General features: G+C 41.3%; 1 protein-coding gene across 2 annotated transcripts in view; it reads left to right on the top strand.

Annotated features, from left to right (window-relative positions):
• Window positions 1–17,363, top strand: part of SPPL3 (signal peptide peptidase like 3) — a 141,849-nt gene that overhangs the window by 1,688 nt on the left and 122,798 nt on the right. The window contains exon 1 of one of the 2 annotated variants that reach the window (XM_011537925.3): window positions 1,066–17,363. This exon is cut by the window's right edge and continues 18,789 nt beyond it. The exons of the other annotated variant lie outside the window; for it this stretch is intronic. The gene's annotated coding sequence lies outside the window, so the exon portion shown is untranslated. Of the gene's footprint in view, window positions 1–1,065 lie in introns of those variants that run through there. 2 annotated transcript variants of the gene reach the window in all.

Genomic DNA, 17,363 nt, shown 5'->3' with positions numbered 1-17,363 from the left:
ACGAGCATGCCGTGTGGAGTTGGAAGACCTATTTCGGAGGTCCGGTTTGCCACCAACTTGCTTTGTTGATACGACATGGTAGTGAGTTCTTCGGTCCTTTTTCCTTACCTATAAAATAGAGGGAATTACCTTTTCCACAGCCTGTAAGGATTAAGTGAGTACATTTAGAAAGCACTTGGCAAACTGTGAAGTGCCACAGATCTTACTACATTAATTATAATTATCCTAGAGAAACATCTAAGAAATGGGTAATATCAGAAAATAAGGAATGGTTTTAGGTAGAAGACTTTGAGTGGATTATTTATAGTGTTAGAGGTTATAAGTCAGTAACTCATTGAGTCTTCACATAAGAGAAAGGGAGTTGGGGATTGAAGATGATAATTCTTAAGAGAACTTCATTGATGTATGTGCAATCTCAAGAAGAAGGTAACTGAGAGACAAAGTAACCCTAAAGGAAGAATTAAAATCTTGGTGAACACGTGCTCTAAAAAGAGGTTTAAGCTAATTTCATAGTTTTGCGTGACAGCTGCCTTTCAGTAGCAGGTCGTAGGGAACACAAGATTACAATTTCAGCTTCCTTCTGGACAGAGTAAGAAATGAAGGTAAAGGTGTTTCTGTCATGCCTTGTGGTTACTCATCTTGAGCTTCTCATACTCTGGCCCTAATGGCTGTGGCCCTGAGAGTCCTAATGGCTGCTTTGCTGTTTTTACTGTGCTGTACAGAGGCCCTGGATGGTTGAAAGAATAGAAAACTCAGTGGTCAAGAAATGGGGAAAATGAAAATGTTTTACTAGGTAGGTTGGACACACACGACCTCTCTCTGACATTAGTTGGCTCTATTAAGGAGGGATTACTTTGTGAAGTTTGACAATTTACAAATTTATTCTACTAAAATACTTCCTTCAATGTCAGCTCTGTTTGCTTTACAGGCAAAGAAACTCCTTGAAATCGGGGAGCTTAGCCCCTCAACCTTTGGCAGGTTTTGAGATGAAGAAAATTTTTACATTATCTGGAGAGAGGGTGGCATATAAGGGGAGACTGGGGAAAGTGGGCAGTTTCCTTTTTTTTTTTTTTTTTTTTTAGGACGGAGTCTCGCTCTGTCACCCAGGCTGCAGTGCAGTGGCGCCATCTCGGCTCACTGCAGCCTCCGCTTCCCGGGTGCAAGCAATTCTTATGCCTCAGCCTCCCGAGTAGCTGGGACTACAGCCACATGCCACCATGCCCGGCTTTTTTTTGTATTTTTAGTAGAGATGGGGTTTCACCATGTTGGCCAGGCTGGTCTCAAACTCCTGACCCAGTGATCTGCCCACCTCGGCTTCCCAAAGTGCTGGGATTGCAGGCATGAACCACCGTGCCCGGCCACAGCTTCCTATTTAATAGTTGTTCCTGATTCAACTGACTAATAATATAATAAAATAAGGAACTATACACATGGCATTAAATATACACATTTAATTCTCACAAGTTTCTGAGGTAGGTGATATTTCCCTGTTTCACAGAGGAAGAAACAGGCTTGGGAGGCCAAGTGGTATGTTTAAAGTACTTCACTTGTGATGCTTTATTTTGTTTGACATGAATTCTCCCATCATTTTACTCATTCTTATTGAAATATAAATATGGAAAAGGTATTCCAGTAGTCTATGTAGACTGATTTTTGGATTATCTGTCATTTTGCAGTTATCTTTGTCACTCTTCCCTTGGCTTGTGCAAACAATCAAGAGTTGATTACTTTTTTTTTTTTTTTTTTTGTGAGACAGGGTCTCACTCTTTCGCCCAGGCTGGAATGCAGTGGCCCGATCTAAGCTCACTGCAGCGTCTGCCTCCCAGGTTCAGACAATTCTCCTGCCTCAGCCCTGCAGGTGGCTGGGACCACAGACGTGCACAACCACGTCTGCTAGTTTATTTATTTATTTATTTTGTATTTTTACTAGAGACAGGGTTTTGCCATGTTGCCCAGGCTGGTCTTGAACTCCTGACCTCAAGCAGTCTGCCTGGGATTGGCCTCCCAAAGTGCTGGGATTACAGGCGTGAGCCACCACACCCGGCAATTGATCTCTCTTTTTTTTTTTTTTTTCCTTGAGACAGGGTCTCACTTTATCATGCAGGCTGGAGTGCAGTGGCAAGATCACAGCAGTGCCTCCAGGGCTTAAGCGATCCTCCCACCTCAGCCTCCTGAGTAGCTGGAACTACAGGTGTGCCCCACCACGCCCGGCTGATTATTGCATTTTTTGTATTGTGTTTCGCCATGTTGCCGGTGCTGGTCTTGAACTCAGCCCAAGTGATCTGCCTGCTTTGGCCTCCCGAAGTGCTGGGATTATAGGCGTGAGCAACAGTGCCTGGTCCTGCTGTTTTTTTTTTTAAACAGATTTGCACTTTGTTTGTATGTGACCTTTGGAAAAACCAAACTGTGGAGACTGTTGTGCCACTAAAGATTTGTCTGAGGATGGACTCGGTGAAGAATATAAAGGCATATGCAGATGGGCTCCCTTAGGATTTTCGTATAATAAGATGTAAATTATTGGCAATGAGTTGATCATTACTGGAGCTGGGTGATGAGTACATGGAGGTTTATTATTCTGTTGACTTTTACATGTTTAAATTTTTCAGAATAAAAAGTTTTTTCAACAAGGCCCTTTATATGTAAGTTCACGTGTGCTTGCTCTCTTCCTAGCAAATTCTATCAAAATCCTGTACTCAAGGGTTCAACTCAAATTCTGCTTAGCTGTGAAGCATTTTCTGACCACCCCATATGAAAATGATCTTTTTTTTTTTTTTTTTTTTTTGAGACAGGGTCTTGCTCTGTCGCCCAAGAGTGCAATGGCATGATCTCCGCTCACAGCAACCTCCGCCTCCTGGGTTCAAGCGATTCTTGTGCCTCAGCCTCCCGAGTAGCTGGGATTACAGGCGTGTACCACCATGCCCGGCTAATTTTTTTGTATTTTTAGTAGAGATGGGATTTCACCATGTTAGCCAGGATGGTCTTGATCTCCTGACCTCAGGTGATCCTCCCGCCTCAGCCTCCCAAAGTGCTGGGATTATAGGTGTGAGCCACTGTGCCCGGCGATCTTTTTATTTTTAATACTTACAGTTCTGTCTGCATAATTCCTTCCTTATCTCATGTAAATGCCTAATCTAACTATATTGTAAACTCCTTGAGAGTAAGGACCATATGACACTAACCTTGGTTCTCCCATAGTGCCTAGCACATTGTAGTACACATAGACCCTACTGAGTAAATACCAAGTGGTAAATATGACACTGAATTTCAGGATGGTTCATCCTTTGTTGAAAGAATATTAAACATAAGGAGGATGCTACTGAGTGAAAAATAAGTGTTTATAACCCAAGTACTTATCAAAGAGGGCTTTTTGTAACTTGGTTTCCTGATGTACCAGTGCTGCAAGAATGAGGAATGCCATCCTTTATTAAAGTTCTAAATAAAAGCTATTAACAGAATAAATTGAAATAATTGGTAGTAACATCAGAATCTTTATCACAATTTAACTACAAGATTCTCCTTATAGCCTTTTTTCTCACATACACTGAGGAAGTAAAAGAATGCATGTGAAAACACAGATTGAATGTGCTAACTAGACTTTTATTAATTTGAGAAAAACACCTTTCTTCCTGTATATTTATGAGCAGTTTTAGTGTAAGTTCTGTGAGAAACGGGAACTCGTCTCTTGATGAAGCAAAATGTGGTACTTATATATAACTGGTATTGAACCCCTGCTCAACATTACTAATGTTGGTGTGAGGGAAAAGGAAGTCAATTTATTTGAACTCCTTCAAGTGAATTTTGTTACCAAAATACTATCATAATAACTTGTGTATTTTCTATGTGATAGAGTTTTACGAGCATTGCTAAGTAAGGAAATTGAGGCTCAAAGCATGTAAGTAACTTGCCCAAGGATGTAAATGGTAAAGGGCTCAAAGGGAAGATTATCTGACACAAATTCTGACACTGAATCTGTCCACTTAATGTTTCCACAGTGTTGACTGTAAGCCAGCCCTCTTTTGCTTGAGTTCCTGTATTAGCCTCTTTGCTGGGTTTCTTCCATTATCTACCTGTTGGTACCTTCTTGGCCTTCTAACAACCTAAGTCAGATCTTGGCAGTTCTCTGCTTAAAAGTATGGGTTTTGGCCACACTTAGAATAAAACCCAGATTCCTTAGTGTGGTTCTTCATGGTTTGATCTTGTGTGTGTCTCTCTGAGGGATGACAGACGATAAACAAAATAAGCTACATAAGGATAAAACCCTTTCTGTTTTTGGTACTCTCTCCAGTGCCTGGCATTTAATAGATATAAATAGGTGGCTGCTCTGTGCTACCCATCTTTTTTTTTTTTTTTTTTTTTAAAAAAAAAAAAAAAAAACAGAGTCTTGCTCTGTCCAGGCTGGAGTGTGGTGGCACGATCTCGACTCACTGCAACCTCCGCTTCCCAGGCTCGAGCAATTCTCGTGTCTCAGTCTCCTGAGTAGATGGGACTACAGGCAGGCTCCACCATGCCCAGCTAATTTTTTGTAGACATGAGGTTTTGCCATATTGGCCAGGTTGGTCTCGAACTCCTGACTTCAAGCAATCCACCCACCTCGGCCTCCCAAAGTGCTGGTATTATAGGCATGAGCCACTGCGCCTGGCCCGTGCTACTCATTTTAAGGCTTTCTAATCTCAGGGCTGTATTATATTGAGGTGATGTATTGTTGTGATAATGGTCATTACATGTCAGGTATTTGCAAATATTATTAAACCTGAGAATGGCAAATAACACAGGTCTCCATATCTAGTGGAAGTCAGTTCTACTTTTGGATTACTGTTGTGTGTTGTTGTATCTGGTATGATCATATCCAATTGTAGCTGATGGAAGTTTTTCAGAGAGAAAGTAGTTGAAAATTTGTGTCTAGCATTATAGACTTTAGAAGATTTGCTCATTATTATTATTATTTTTTGAGACGGAGTCTCGCTGTGTAGCCCAGGCTGGAGTGCAGTGGTGCGATCTCGGCTCACTGCAACCTCCGCCTTCCGGGTTCACGCCATTCTCCTGCCTCAGCCTCCCAAGTAGCTGGGACTACAGGCACCCGCCACCACGCCCAGCTAATTTTTTGTAATTTTAGTAGAGACGGGGTTTCACCGTGTTAGCTAGGATGGTCTTGATCTCCTGACCTCATGATCCACCCGCCTCAGCCTCCCAAAGTGCTTGGATTACAGGTGTGAGCCACCGCTCCCGGCCCTTGCTCATTATTTTAAAAACATATTTTGCCTATAGTTAAAGTACTATGATAATGTTGTTTGGGTGATGTGTGATTTAAACTAAAATTAGCCAAAGTTAACCCCATGAATTTATATTTAAATCATTTTCCTCAAGGTTTTTTATAAAGCCTTCGGGGGTAAAGAAAGCTGGAGAGTGTACCATATCAGCCTGTAAGTATCAGGTAGTACTATCAATTTAAATGCTTAATGATCATGCATTTCTCAAAAAGATTTCTACGTGATCATTTATTTTAGAGATGACAAATGCCATTGGATTGTGATGTGTCATTCTATATAATTGTATTTTATTTCAACATTAATAACATTAATAAATTAGTTCTCATCATTCATATCTGTTTTATCAAACCATCTCGTGAAAATTTAGAGATGTCCTAAAAAGAGAAAGAGAGTGTTGATAACCAAGTGCTGTTTTATTTAGTTGGCTGTTTTTGGCATCTGAAACTGTGTGTGACTGCTGTCATGGCAGTTCGCCATAAGTATAATTTGATTTTTAAAATTCTATAATCTATTTTTGATGTTTCTAGAGTTTAATGGTTCCTTCTTAGGAATTAAAATACTGATTGTATGTGATGTATGTATAAATTAAGAAGTGTTTGCAACTTTCACTTTCTTTTTTTTTTTTGAAACGGAGTCTCACCCTGTCACCCAGTCTAGAGTGTAGTGGTGCGATCTCAGCTCACTGCTACCTCCACCTCCCAGGTTCAAGCAATTCTCTTGCCTCAGCCTCCCAAGTATCTGGGATTACAGGTGCACACCACCATGCCCGGCTAATTTGTTTTCTGTATCTTTAGTAGAGACAGGATTTCACCATGTTGGTCAGGCTGGTCTCAAACTCCTGACCTTGTGATCCACCTGCCTCAGCCTCCTAAAATGTTGGGATTACAGGCATGAGGCACCATGCCTGGCCAACTTTCACTTTCTATCATGTATTTTCTTATCCTTACTTAAAGAGTTAGAGGCAGAATACTTGTCTTCTGGAATTTTAACGTCTGAGGTGCTCAGAGGGGCTCTAAATGATCAAATTCAGTTTTACAGGGAAAAATCTAGTTAGTCCCAATGATCCTCTCAATGAATTGTTACCCCTCAGATTTTATTAATAAGTCAAACTAGGGCCACAGCTTGAAATGAAACAGCTCCACCTCATTGTTGTGGAACGACTAGGTTGAGCTCCTAAGAAAAAGTTTTTGTAGGTATCTTTAAGGTATTAGACTAAGGAGTATGCCTTAGCCTAATAGAGACCTTATGGAAAATCCCATTTCTTGGTTTGTAGGGTATTCCCTAACCTGGTAGGAAAACTTAGTTATCTCTCTTTTGGAGTTCCAGCATGGATAGTGAAGAACCACCAAAGGATTTTTTTTTTTAAGTGCTCTGAAGTGGAGATGTATCCTAGTTGTTTCTACATATTTTGAATTGTATCGAATATAAGTGATTATTCAAAAAGTATTCAGTTGTGTTATGCCACTCATTAAATTTTCATTTGAAATCTTGAGATATGAGCACCTCATTCTGTTACGGTTTCTTCGAATCAGGAAATCTTTAGCGTGAGGGTGGTTTTCATCTCTAGTTGACTGTGACCTAGCCATGTCTTAGTCCTAGTGTTGTATTTGGTACAATAGTTATGCCTGTTGTACTCCACAGGGTCGTTGTGAGGATTTAGTGAGATAATGCACATAAAAATGCTTCATGCATTGCAAAGTGCTCCGTGAAAGCACGCTGTTTGTTCTGTACATTATTTGTTAGAGCCAGATAGGTTCCAGATAGAGTTCCTCACTATAGAAATGACTTCTCTTGTTTCACAATTTAGCCAGCGCTTAAACTTTGAGATGTCCTTTATATTGAGGATGCCACATAATGCTATATAAAAAGAAATAATAGTCTCCAAATTGTCACTGATTTCTAAGTTTCATAGTCCATGGCTACATTCCACAAGAAGAAAGATGATGAATAAAGCTATGTTTCTTTTTTTTTTTTTTGAGATGGAGTTTCGCTCTTGTCACCCAGGCTGGAGTACAGTGGCGCGATCTTGGCTCACTGCAACCTCTACCTCCTGGGTTCAAGCGATTCTCCTGCCTCAGCCTCCAAAGTAGCTGGGTTTATAGCTGCGCGCCAATACACGCGGCTAATTTTGTATTTTTTGTAGAGACGGAGTTTCACCGAGTTGGCCAGGCTGATCTCCAACTCCTGATCTCAGGTGATCCACCCACCTCTGCCTCCCAAAGTGCTGGGATTACAGGCGTGAGCCACCATGCCCGACCTGTTTTTTCATGTTAGTTTTATCTTGATTTTGAAGACAGTTTCCTTCATGATCTACTTAAATGAAGAAAGAACAGTAGAGTGGATGATCCTCATCTTTCCCTGCTTTTCCTTGGAATGCATGGTACGGTTTTCTACCCTTCTAAAAATGCCTGAGGAGGAGCTGTTAGCAGGTTTGTTTGTTTGTTTGTTTGTTTGTTTGAGACGGACTCTCACTCTGTTGCCCGGGCTGGAGTGCGGTGGCACGATCTCAGCTCACTGCAGCCTCCACCTCCCGGGTTCAAGGGATCCTCCTGCCTCAGCCCCACTAGTAGCTGGTATTACAGGCATGCGCCACCGCACCCAGCTAATTTTTTGTATTTTTAGTAGAGACGGGGTTTCTCCATATTGCTCAGGCTGGTCTTGAACTCCCGACCTCAGGTGATCCACCCGCCTCGGCCTCCCAAAGTGCTGGGATTACAGGCATGAGCCACTGCGCCTGGCCAGTAGTTTATCTGTTTCCTTATCCCACACCATGCCTGACAGGCACACCCACTTCCCTTCATCTGAGGCCTCAGGCTTGGGCTTCACTCTTGACCTAGATAGGGCAGGTGTAGCAAAGAAAGTTTTGTTCATTTCTTCTTCAAGCTAGTTATACAGTCATTGTGACCTACGTACAGTGCCTGACTTTGTTTTGTTGTTTAAGTTTTGTCTAGACCTTGTTTAGCTTGACCTTCCAAACTTGACTAAATCTTCAAGCTTTGCCTGATAGCCTTTGACTGTATACTCTGACTTTATAAACTTATGAAATTTACACTCATTTCTTTTTTGTTTGTTTGTTTTTGAGATGGAGTTTCGGTCTTGTTGCCCAGGCTGGAGTGCAGTGGCACCATCTTGGCTCACCGCAACCTCTGCCTCCCGGGTTCAAGTGATTCTCCTGCCTCAGCTTCCCGAGTAGCTGGGATAACGGGCATGCGCCACCACGCCCAGCTAATTTTGTATTTTTAGTAGAGACGGGGTTTCTCCATGTTGGTCAGGCCGGTTGTGAACTCCTGACCTCAGGGTCATCTGCCTGCCTCAGCCTCGCCAAGTGCTGGGATTACAGGCGTGACCCACTGCACCCGGCCCCCTACACTCATTTCTTATAACCGCTTGCAAAAATACTACTTTTAGAAGTAAAGATTAGTTGTGAAAAACAAATACCTTTGCCACTGATTAGTGCAAATGTTTCTAGAAATGCCATCTGGGACTATGGCTAGGCTGGCTGGAACTAGTTGAAGATTTGAGGTAAGAACAATTAACCAAAAGGTAAGAGTATGGAGAGGAAAAAATGGAAGACCAGAAATTGAGGCTTGGGAAACTCACAATTAAGAAATGTCAGGAAGAAGAGGAATCAGAAGAGGCTCCATCAGAGGTAGGATAATTAGGAAAGTGCAGTGGCGATGAAAAGGCATAAGAGAATTTTTAGGGGCAGGAGTGTAAAAAGCTACAAGGATTCAGAGAGAATGAAGAAAAAGCAGGCTATTGAATTTGTAAAGGAAGTCATTACTGAGAGTGCACTGCTAAGATCAGAGTAGTGGGGGTGGAAGCCCAATCAGGGGTAGGTCATAAAGAAATAAAGGCATCTTCTGGGTACTGGCCATTTGTTTGAGATGTGAAAGACTTGAGGAAAGAGAATGGTTGGTACAGACAGCAGGGTCATAAAGGTCTTCTTTTTGTTTTTTATAAATAAGGGAGATAATTGTATATTTGCAGGCAGGGAGAGAAAATTGATCTCGGAAAAAAATATATATTTTTTTCACGCCATTCTCCTGCCTCAGCCTCCCAAGTAGCTGGGACTACAGGCGCCCGCCGCCACGCCTGGATAATTTTTTGTATTTTTAGTAGAGACAGGGTTTCACTGTGTTAGCCAGGATGGTCTCGATCTCCTGACCTCATGATCCGCCCACCTCGGCCTCCCAAAGTGCTGGGATTACAGGCGTGAGCCACTGCACCTGACCCAGTATTTTTTTTTACTGTAGTTTCAGTTTAGAGATTTCTACCTTTTAAAGAATTATTAAGGGTTTCAGTTAGGGGTTGTAAAGAGAATTTCAGAGGAGTCCTTAGTGTGTACGTTTAGTTTTTGTCTCTCTTGGTTTGTATATTGTCCACTAAATTTTGGGTTGTATTTTTTTTTTTTTTTTTCCCGAGACAGAGTCTTGCTCTGTCACCCAGGCTGGAGTGCAGTGGCACCATCTCGGCTCACTGCAACCTCTGCCTACCGGGTTCACGCCATTCTCCTGCCTCAGCCTCCCGAGTAGCTGGGACTACAGGCGCCTGCCACCATGCCCGGCTAATTTTTTGTATTTTTAGTAGAGACGGGGTTTCACCGTGTTAGCCAGGATGGTCTCGATCTCCTGACCTTGTGATGCACCCGCCTTGGTCTCCCAAAGTGCTGGGATTACAGGCGTGAGCCACCGCGCCTGGCCTCTAATTTTGGGTTGTATCGTATTTTAATAGCCTTTGTGTTTTTTATTGTTGGAATATAAAATCTACCCTCTACAATCTGACTTTCAAAACAATCTGGTCTTATAACCCTGCTTCCCTATATTTCCTTTAAATATTACGTGTTACTTCAGCCACACTGGGTTACTTCTGTTTCCTCTTTTATGTACGGTGACTCTTCTGCCTCGTTTGCCCTTCTTCCAAGTCTCTAAACATGTTGACTCCTACCCATTTTTCAAGGTCTGACTGCAATGTTTTCCCCTTGCTGTGGAGCCTTCTTTCTGATTGGCGCAGGAGAAATGTTCTTCTGATGTCTACAGCTCTTTATCTGTTCCTGTCATGTGGGCAGCACTCAGGATTTTCTGACCTTGTATTGAATGTATTTAATATGACCATCTTCCCGTTTTGACAATGCACTTTGTAAGGGTAGGTTCAAAGCCATTAATTTCATGGTGCAAGGACCTACAGATAGTAGGTGCTCAGATTTTCTTTGTAAAAGAATGAATATTTTAGGGGTGAAATTTGTTAGATGCTGGATTTTAGAATAGAATGTCTCCCTAAAAATATGGTGACAAGGCACATGGAAGAGAGGAGAGAACATCTTACTGCTCTTTGAAGGAAGTACAGAAATAAAATGGTTACTGTTAAGTTGGTTCAAGTGTTATGTCCAAATTTGCCTAACTTTCTAATATCCTGACAACACCTAGAGAAAGAAAGGGACTCAGCTAAGGGAGACATTTACAAAGGGCCACAAGCCCTTTAGAGCGCTCTTCTTCATTCAGCTTAGTCTTCTTGAACATGACCACTGACTCACTTATAAAAGTATAAGTAAAATACAAGTTTATTTATACTTTATATTTCCCAAACAGCCATTTATTAAATATGTGGCATATATTACTTGTTTCCTAAAGTGGAGACACTCAGCTGCTTTTTTTTTTTTTTTTTTTTAGAATTTGCAAAACAGTCTTAGGGAAAAAAATTTCAGTAACATGCTCATGTGAAAATATTTTGCAGGAAACATCTCGAGATATGAGTATAAGCTGTATGTAAACTAGCTTTTGAACAATGTAATATTTCTCTCTCACTACTATTTCAGGAATTCATAGTCTTTGTATTACGCTTTTGTTTAAAAAGCTAAAAAAATTTTTTTAATAGAAACTTATTTTGCCGTTTTTTTCTCCTTTTTCTAAAAGTCTGTTTTCTTTTTCAGCTCATTTCTTGTCCTTTGTTTTATAATTATTCAGAAAGGGCAATTGAAAAAAATCTCGTGGCCTGATGTGTGCTTATTTTAAAGTTAATAGATATAGCAGTGCCTCAATCTTAGGTCAGAATTAAATAACACCGTCATCTGGAATAGGCATAAACCAGACATTTGGGAGATTAGGAGTTAGTTTTGTTTTTGAACCTTTGTATCTTTGCAGTGGTGAAAACTCACAGGCCTAAGGATGATGTATTAGGCTGGATTCCTGGGTAGCAAAGGTTATAAAACCATGGGCAGATGTTATCAACCAGCTTAGGAAAAAGGGAATAACAAGTAGAAGTAGGGAAGAAATGTGAATGGCAAATGTGATTGAGCAATAGAAGCAGAGGCGAAGGTTAGAGATGAAGTGGAAAAAGGAGGCAGCTACCAGAAAGTAGACAGCTAAACCAGAGTCATTGTGTAGCAAAGGTGCAGATGGCCCAAGACATCTCTGGAAATCCACCTTTGTGTTCAGGTTAGATTTACCAAGTTGATAATGAGTCAACCTTTAGTGATAGGATAGATAGTCTTAGCTTGTCCTGTTAGCTGTTGAGAGCATCGGGTTTCGGCTTCACAGCTAGATACCTCGGAGACATTCTTGATTCTCATCAAATAATAAGGCCTGTTGACTTTTCGCTCCGTGTTTGTGTGTATATGTAGAATATTATTTAATATATTTTAAATTTGCTTCCTCTCCCTTTTCCTAAATTTTTGTTCCAAGATGACCCTTCCCTTTTTTCCCTTAAAGTTTTGAGGACATGAATAATGTTCATGTGTTTATCCTCAGTGGTCTGGCCCATAGTTTATTAAAAGTGAAGATTATTCTGGATTTGATTTTTTTTTTTTTTTTTTTTTTGAGACGGAGTCTGGCTCTGTCGCCCAGGCTGGAGTACAATGGCGCGATCTCTGCTTACTGCAGCCTCCGCCTTCCAGATTCAAGCGATTCTCCTGCCTCAGCCTCCCGAGTAGCTGGGACTATAGGCGCCTGCCACCACGCCCAGCTAATTTTTTGTATTTTTAGTAGGGATGGGGTTTTATCATTTTGGCCAGGATGGTTTCGATCTCTTGACCTCGTGATCTGCCCGCCTCAGCCTCCCAAAGTGCTGGGATTACAGGTGTGAGCCACCGTGCCCTGCCCTGGATTTGATATTTTGAAAATACCCTGAAAAAGTAAAACTTTTTATTTTATTTTTTTGGGATGGAATTTCGCTTTTGTTGTCCAGGCTGGAGTGCTATGGCGCAATCTCGGCTCACCACAACCTCTGCCTCCCAGGTTCAAGTAACTCTCCTGCCTCAGCTTTCCCCAATAGTTGGGATTACAGGCATGCACCACCACGTCCAGCTAATTTTTTTGTATTTTCAGTAGAGACAGGGTTTCTCCATGTTGGTCAGTCTGGTCTCGAACTCCCGACCTCAGGTGATCCACCCACGTTGGCCTCCCAAAGTGCTGGGATTACAGGCGTGAGCCACCGCCCCCAGCAAAATTATTTTTTTTTTCAAAGTAAGGTGGAAGAATATGGGATGTCTTAAATTGCTATCAGTCCTCAGTTAAGAGCCTAAAGGGACAAGCATTAAACATCGTTTATGGTTGTCTTATGTTAAGTGAAAAACTATTATTCAAGGTGTTAGGCTGGACCTACCTTCATAACAATCACTATTTAATTTGTAGGACCTCTTCATAACACAGTGGGAGAATTGGTGACTATATCAGTTAGCTATTGCCACAATAACACTGCATGACAAATTATACCAAAACTCAGTGGATTAAAATAACAATAAAATATACTTATGAATCTACAGATTGGCTGGTGCAACTCTGCTTCTTCCGATCTGTAAGTTGATTGAGATGACTCCGCTTCAAGTGTGTTCATTTTAGGCCCAGAGTGAATGGGCAGCAGCCACATAGGGGAAGCTCTTCTCTAGGCAGTGCCAGGGGCACAAGAGGGCAAGGTGAGACCTCTTAAGGTTTAGGCTTAGAACTGGCACACTGCCATTTCTGCTCCATTCTTTTGGCCAAAGCAAGTCATATGGTTGAAGCCAAAGTCAAGGAGCCACAAAAATAAATCTTACGCCCATTAGTGGGAAGAACTGCAAAATCATATGGCTAAGGAATAGATCCTGGAAAGGATGAGGAATTAATGCCTCTAATGCAATCTACCACAGTTAAAGTTCCCTCTTCTGTTTCAATAGGGCTACTTATCGCTTTTTCATGCTCTTCTAAAATGAAGCATTTCATATAGGCACATTTCATAGAAGTCCCTTTCTGTGGCATTGTGTTTTTCATTCTGATGTTTATATTTTATAAATAGCTTTTGAAAGATATAATTCACGGGCCGGGTGTGGTGGCTCATGCCTGTAATCTCAGCATTTCCGGAGGCTGAGGTGGGCAGTTCACCCGAGGTCAGGGGTTCAAGACCAGCCTCGCCAACATGACGAAACCCCATCTCTACTAAAAATGCAAAAATTAGCCAGGTGAGGTGGCATGAACCTGTAATCCCAGCTATTTACTCGGGAGGCTGAGGCAGGAGAATCGCCTGAGCCCAGGAGGTGGAGGTTGCAGTGAGCTGAGATTGCACCCATTGTACTCCGCCCTGGGTGACAAAGCAAGACCCGGTCTCAAAAAATAAAATATAAGATATAATTCACATACTGTACAATTCAGTCATTTAAAGTGTACAATTAAGTAGTTTTTATTATATCTACAGAGTTGGGCAGTCGTCACCACAATCATTTTTATAACATTTTCTTCATCCCAAAAGAAACTGTACATATTAGCAGTTACTGCTCATTACCCTTCTCCCCAGCCCTTGGCAGCCACTAGTCTGCTTTTGGCCTCTACGGATTTGTTCTTTTTCTGTTAATCGAATGATACATAGCTTTTGTTTTGTTTCTGGCTGCTTGCACTTAGCACAGTGTTTTTAAGGCTCATCCATGTTGTAGCATGTGTCAATGCTTCATTCTCTTTATTGCCAAATAATTTTCCTTTTTTATACCACATTCAGCTTATGCACTCATTAGTTGACAGGCATTTGGGTAGTTTCCGCATTTTGGCTGCTATGAATAATGTGGGGCCAGGTGTGGTGGCTCATGCCTGTAATCCCAGCACTTTGAAAGGCTGAGGCAGGTGGATCACCTGAGATTAGGAGTTCGAGACCAGCCTGGCCAACGTGGTGAAACCCTGTCTCTACTAAAAATACGAAAATTAGCTGGGCGTGGTGGTGGACGCCTGTAATCCCAGCTACTCAGGAGGCTGAGGTAGGAGAATCACTTGAACGCAAGAGGCAGAGGTTGCAGTGAGCAGAGATGGTGCCACTGCACTCCAGCCTGGGCAACAGAGCAAGACTCTGTCTAAAAAAACCAAAAATAGTAATAGTTATGCGATGAACATTTGTATACAAGTTTTTGTGCAGATGTATGTTTTTATTTCTCTTGGGTGAATACTTTGGAGTAAAGTTGCTGGCTCATAGTTTCTGTTTTTAACATTTTGATAAACTGCCAAACAGCTTTCCAAAACGGCTGCACCATTTTACATTACCACCAGCAATGTGTGAGATTCTAATTTCTCCACGTCTTCACCAACACTTGTTATTGTCTTTTAAATTATAGCTATCCTAGTGAGTGTAAAGTCATATCTCATTGTGGTTTTATTTGTGTAGTGTTTATATTTAATTAAGGGTTTGTAGAGGAAAAAAGCAGTAGTTTAAAATGTTAGGTCTGATTGTTTTTAGAAGTGTACTACCAAAGTTGAACCTCTGTTTTAGTCAACTAAAAATCTTGTGTCAAGAACAAAAATTTAGTACACCTTTGGTTCACAGATTTTTCTTCAGGCTACTTCTTATTTCTTTTGCGTGCTGGAATAATTTAGAAAGAAATTAGCCTCAGATAATTGTTAAACTAGTTTCTTCCCTTTGGTTAAGTGATTAACCGAATTACTCTGGCAACCTGCTGCATCATCAGTAAGCTTGGGACTAGGAGTGGTTTCATGACTGAAGGTTTGGTGGGTGGAAGTGGCGGTGAGGGGTGCCTTGATGTGTCAGTTCTTTGCCAGGAGGATAATCACTGGAGGAGTTAGTTGTAAAATACTACCTTTTCTAGAGCTGCACTGCCCAATAGAAGTATAATATATGGTATATATGTAATGTAAAGTTTTCTGGTAGCCACATTAAAAAGTTTTTTTAAAAAGGTGATACTAATTTACATAAAAATACTTATTTCACGCCTGTAATCCCAGCACTTTGAGAGGCCGAGATGGGTGGATCATGAGGTCAGGAGTTCGAGACCAGCCTGGCCAGTATGGTGAAACCCCATCTCTACTAAAAATACAAAAATTAGCCGGGCGTGATGGTGGGAGGCTGAGGCACAAGAATTGCTTGAACCTGGGAGGCAGAGGTTGCAGTGAGCCGAGATCGTGCCACTGCATTCCAGCCTGGGTGACAGGGTAATTCTGTCTCAAAAAAAAAAAAATTATTATATCACTGATGGTATGTAATCAATATACAAATTAATGAGACATTTTAACTTTTTTTAGTACAAGATCTTCTCAATTCAGACTAGCCACATTTCAAGTGCTCAGTAGCTACATGTGGCTAGCAGCTCCCATATTGAACAGTGCGGTTCCAGAGGTGGTAAATACTTATGATCTAGATTTTTGCTCACATGTATGATCTGTGTGTCTTTAGGAAAAACAGATGAGTGTGTGATCAGTCTGTATTTCTAGTTCTTTAGTTTTATATTGTTACTGCCGGGTTTTCTTTCAGTGGGGAAGAGGGTGTTTAGAGGGTTTCAGAGAGGAAGCTCCTCATAGCTCAGATTTTTGGTTGCGAGCAGTTAAATTCACAGGAGGAAGAAAATTGCCTCCCTCCTCATTAGAGATGTACCAGATTCTATAGTTCTCAGCAAGTAAATCTGTTGGAACTGTTATCGTTTGGTCCTTGTTCTGATGGTTATAGGTGTTCAAGGTCTGCTTTGGCCTGTTGTGTATCAGTTATATACCACTTGTACTGCCTAACCACACAGCTCACTTGGTTAGACAGAGTAAGGTTGTGAATTTGATCTCTGTGTTTAATGAATGACTTTATGCCTTTTGGGGCTCTGCTATAGTAACTAAAATAGAATAAACCACATCCTTTTTCATCAGAAGTTTATAGTGTTAGAGACTGGGTGTCAAATGCCAGCAGATGTAATTAAGACAATTTAGAGACAAGGAGATTTCAGAGTGGGCTGTTGTATAGATTGTGTCTCCTAGTCAGTCAGTTGATTACTAGAAGGACTGAATTTGGAAAAAAAAATTTTTTTTTTTTTTGGCCGGGCGTGGTGGCTCACGCCTGTAATCCCAGCACTTGGGGAGGCTGAGACAGGCAGATCACCTGAGGTCATGAGTTCGAGACCAGCCTGACCAACATGGACAGGTTAAAAATACAAAATTAGCTGGGCATGGTGGCACATGCCTGTAATCCCAGCTACTCAGGAGTGTGAGGCAGGAGAATTGCTTGAACCCAGGAGGTGGAGGTTGCGGTGAGCTGAAATCGCGCCATTGCACTCCAGCCTGGGCAACAAGAGCAAAACTCTGTCTCAAAAAAAAAAAAAAAAAAAAAAGTTTTAATGTTTGAATGACTTTACTCACAGCTTACATTTTCTAATTTGGCTGAGTCCCCATCACTTTCTGTTTACTGTACACTGAATCTCTACCTCACTCATTTATGCTGTTTACCTAGCTCCTGGAGGCAATTGAGTTGTGATCCCTTAGTAACCATAGTTGTAGGTCATTGCCTCAAGGATGGTTGAAGATAGGGATAGCTGATCAGTGCTCCAGTGACAGAGGATTAAAAAAACAACTTTTTATGGGCACTTGCATGTTTAGATACAAATACTTTAACAGGATTTGACCATTGCATTATTACTGACTATTAGATGCCTTAAGGACATGTAGTTATTCTAAGTGGTACTCACATGCTTTTGAGTTGGAGTCCATAAATGGTATTCTGACCAAGAGAACAACGATCATGACTTAATTTACATGCTATACCCTGGCATTTGTGATAATATGGACCCAGGGCCCATTTGTGAGTTCACTGATTTGTTTGAATTTGAAGGCCATGTGAAATACTTATGTGTTGTAGGTCCCGTGCACAATTATG

Source organism: Homo sapiens, chromosome 12 (genome assembly GCF_000001405.40).
Source record: "Homo sapiens chromosome 12, GRCh38.p14 Primary Assembly".
In the NCBI taxonomy this organism is placed as follows: domain Eukaryota; kingdom Metazoa; phylum Chordata; class Mammalia; order Primates; family Hominidae; genus Homo; species Homo sapiens.
Note: the sequence above shows the minus strand (reverse complement) of the source record. Positions and strands in the feature narration are given on the sequence as shown.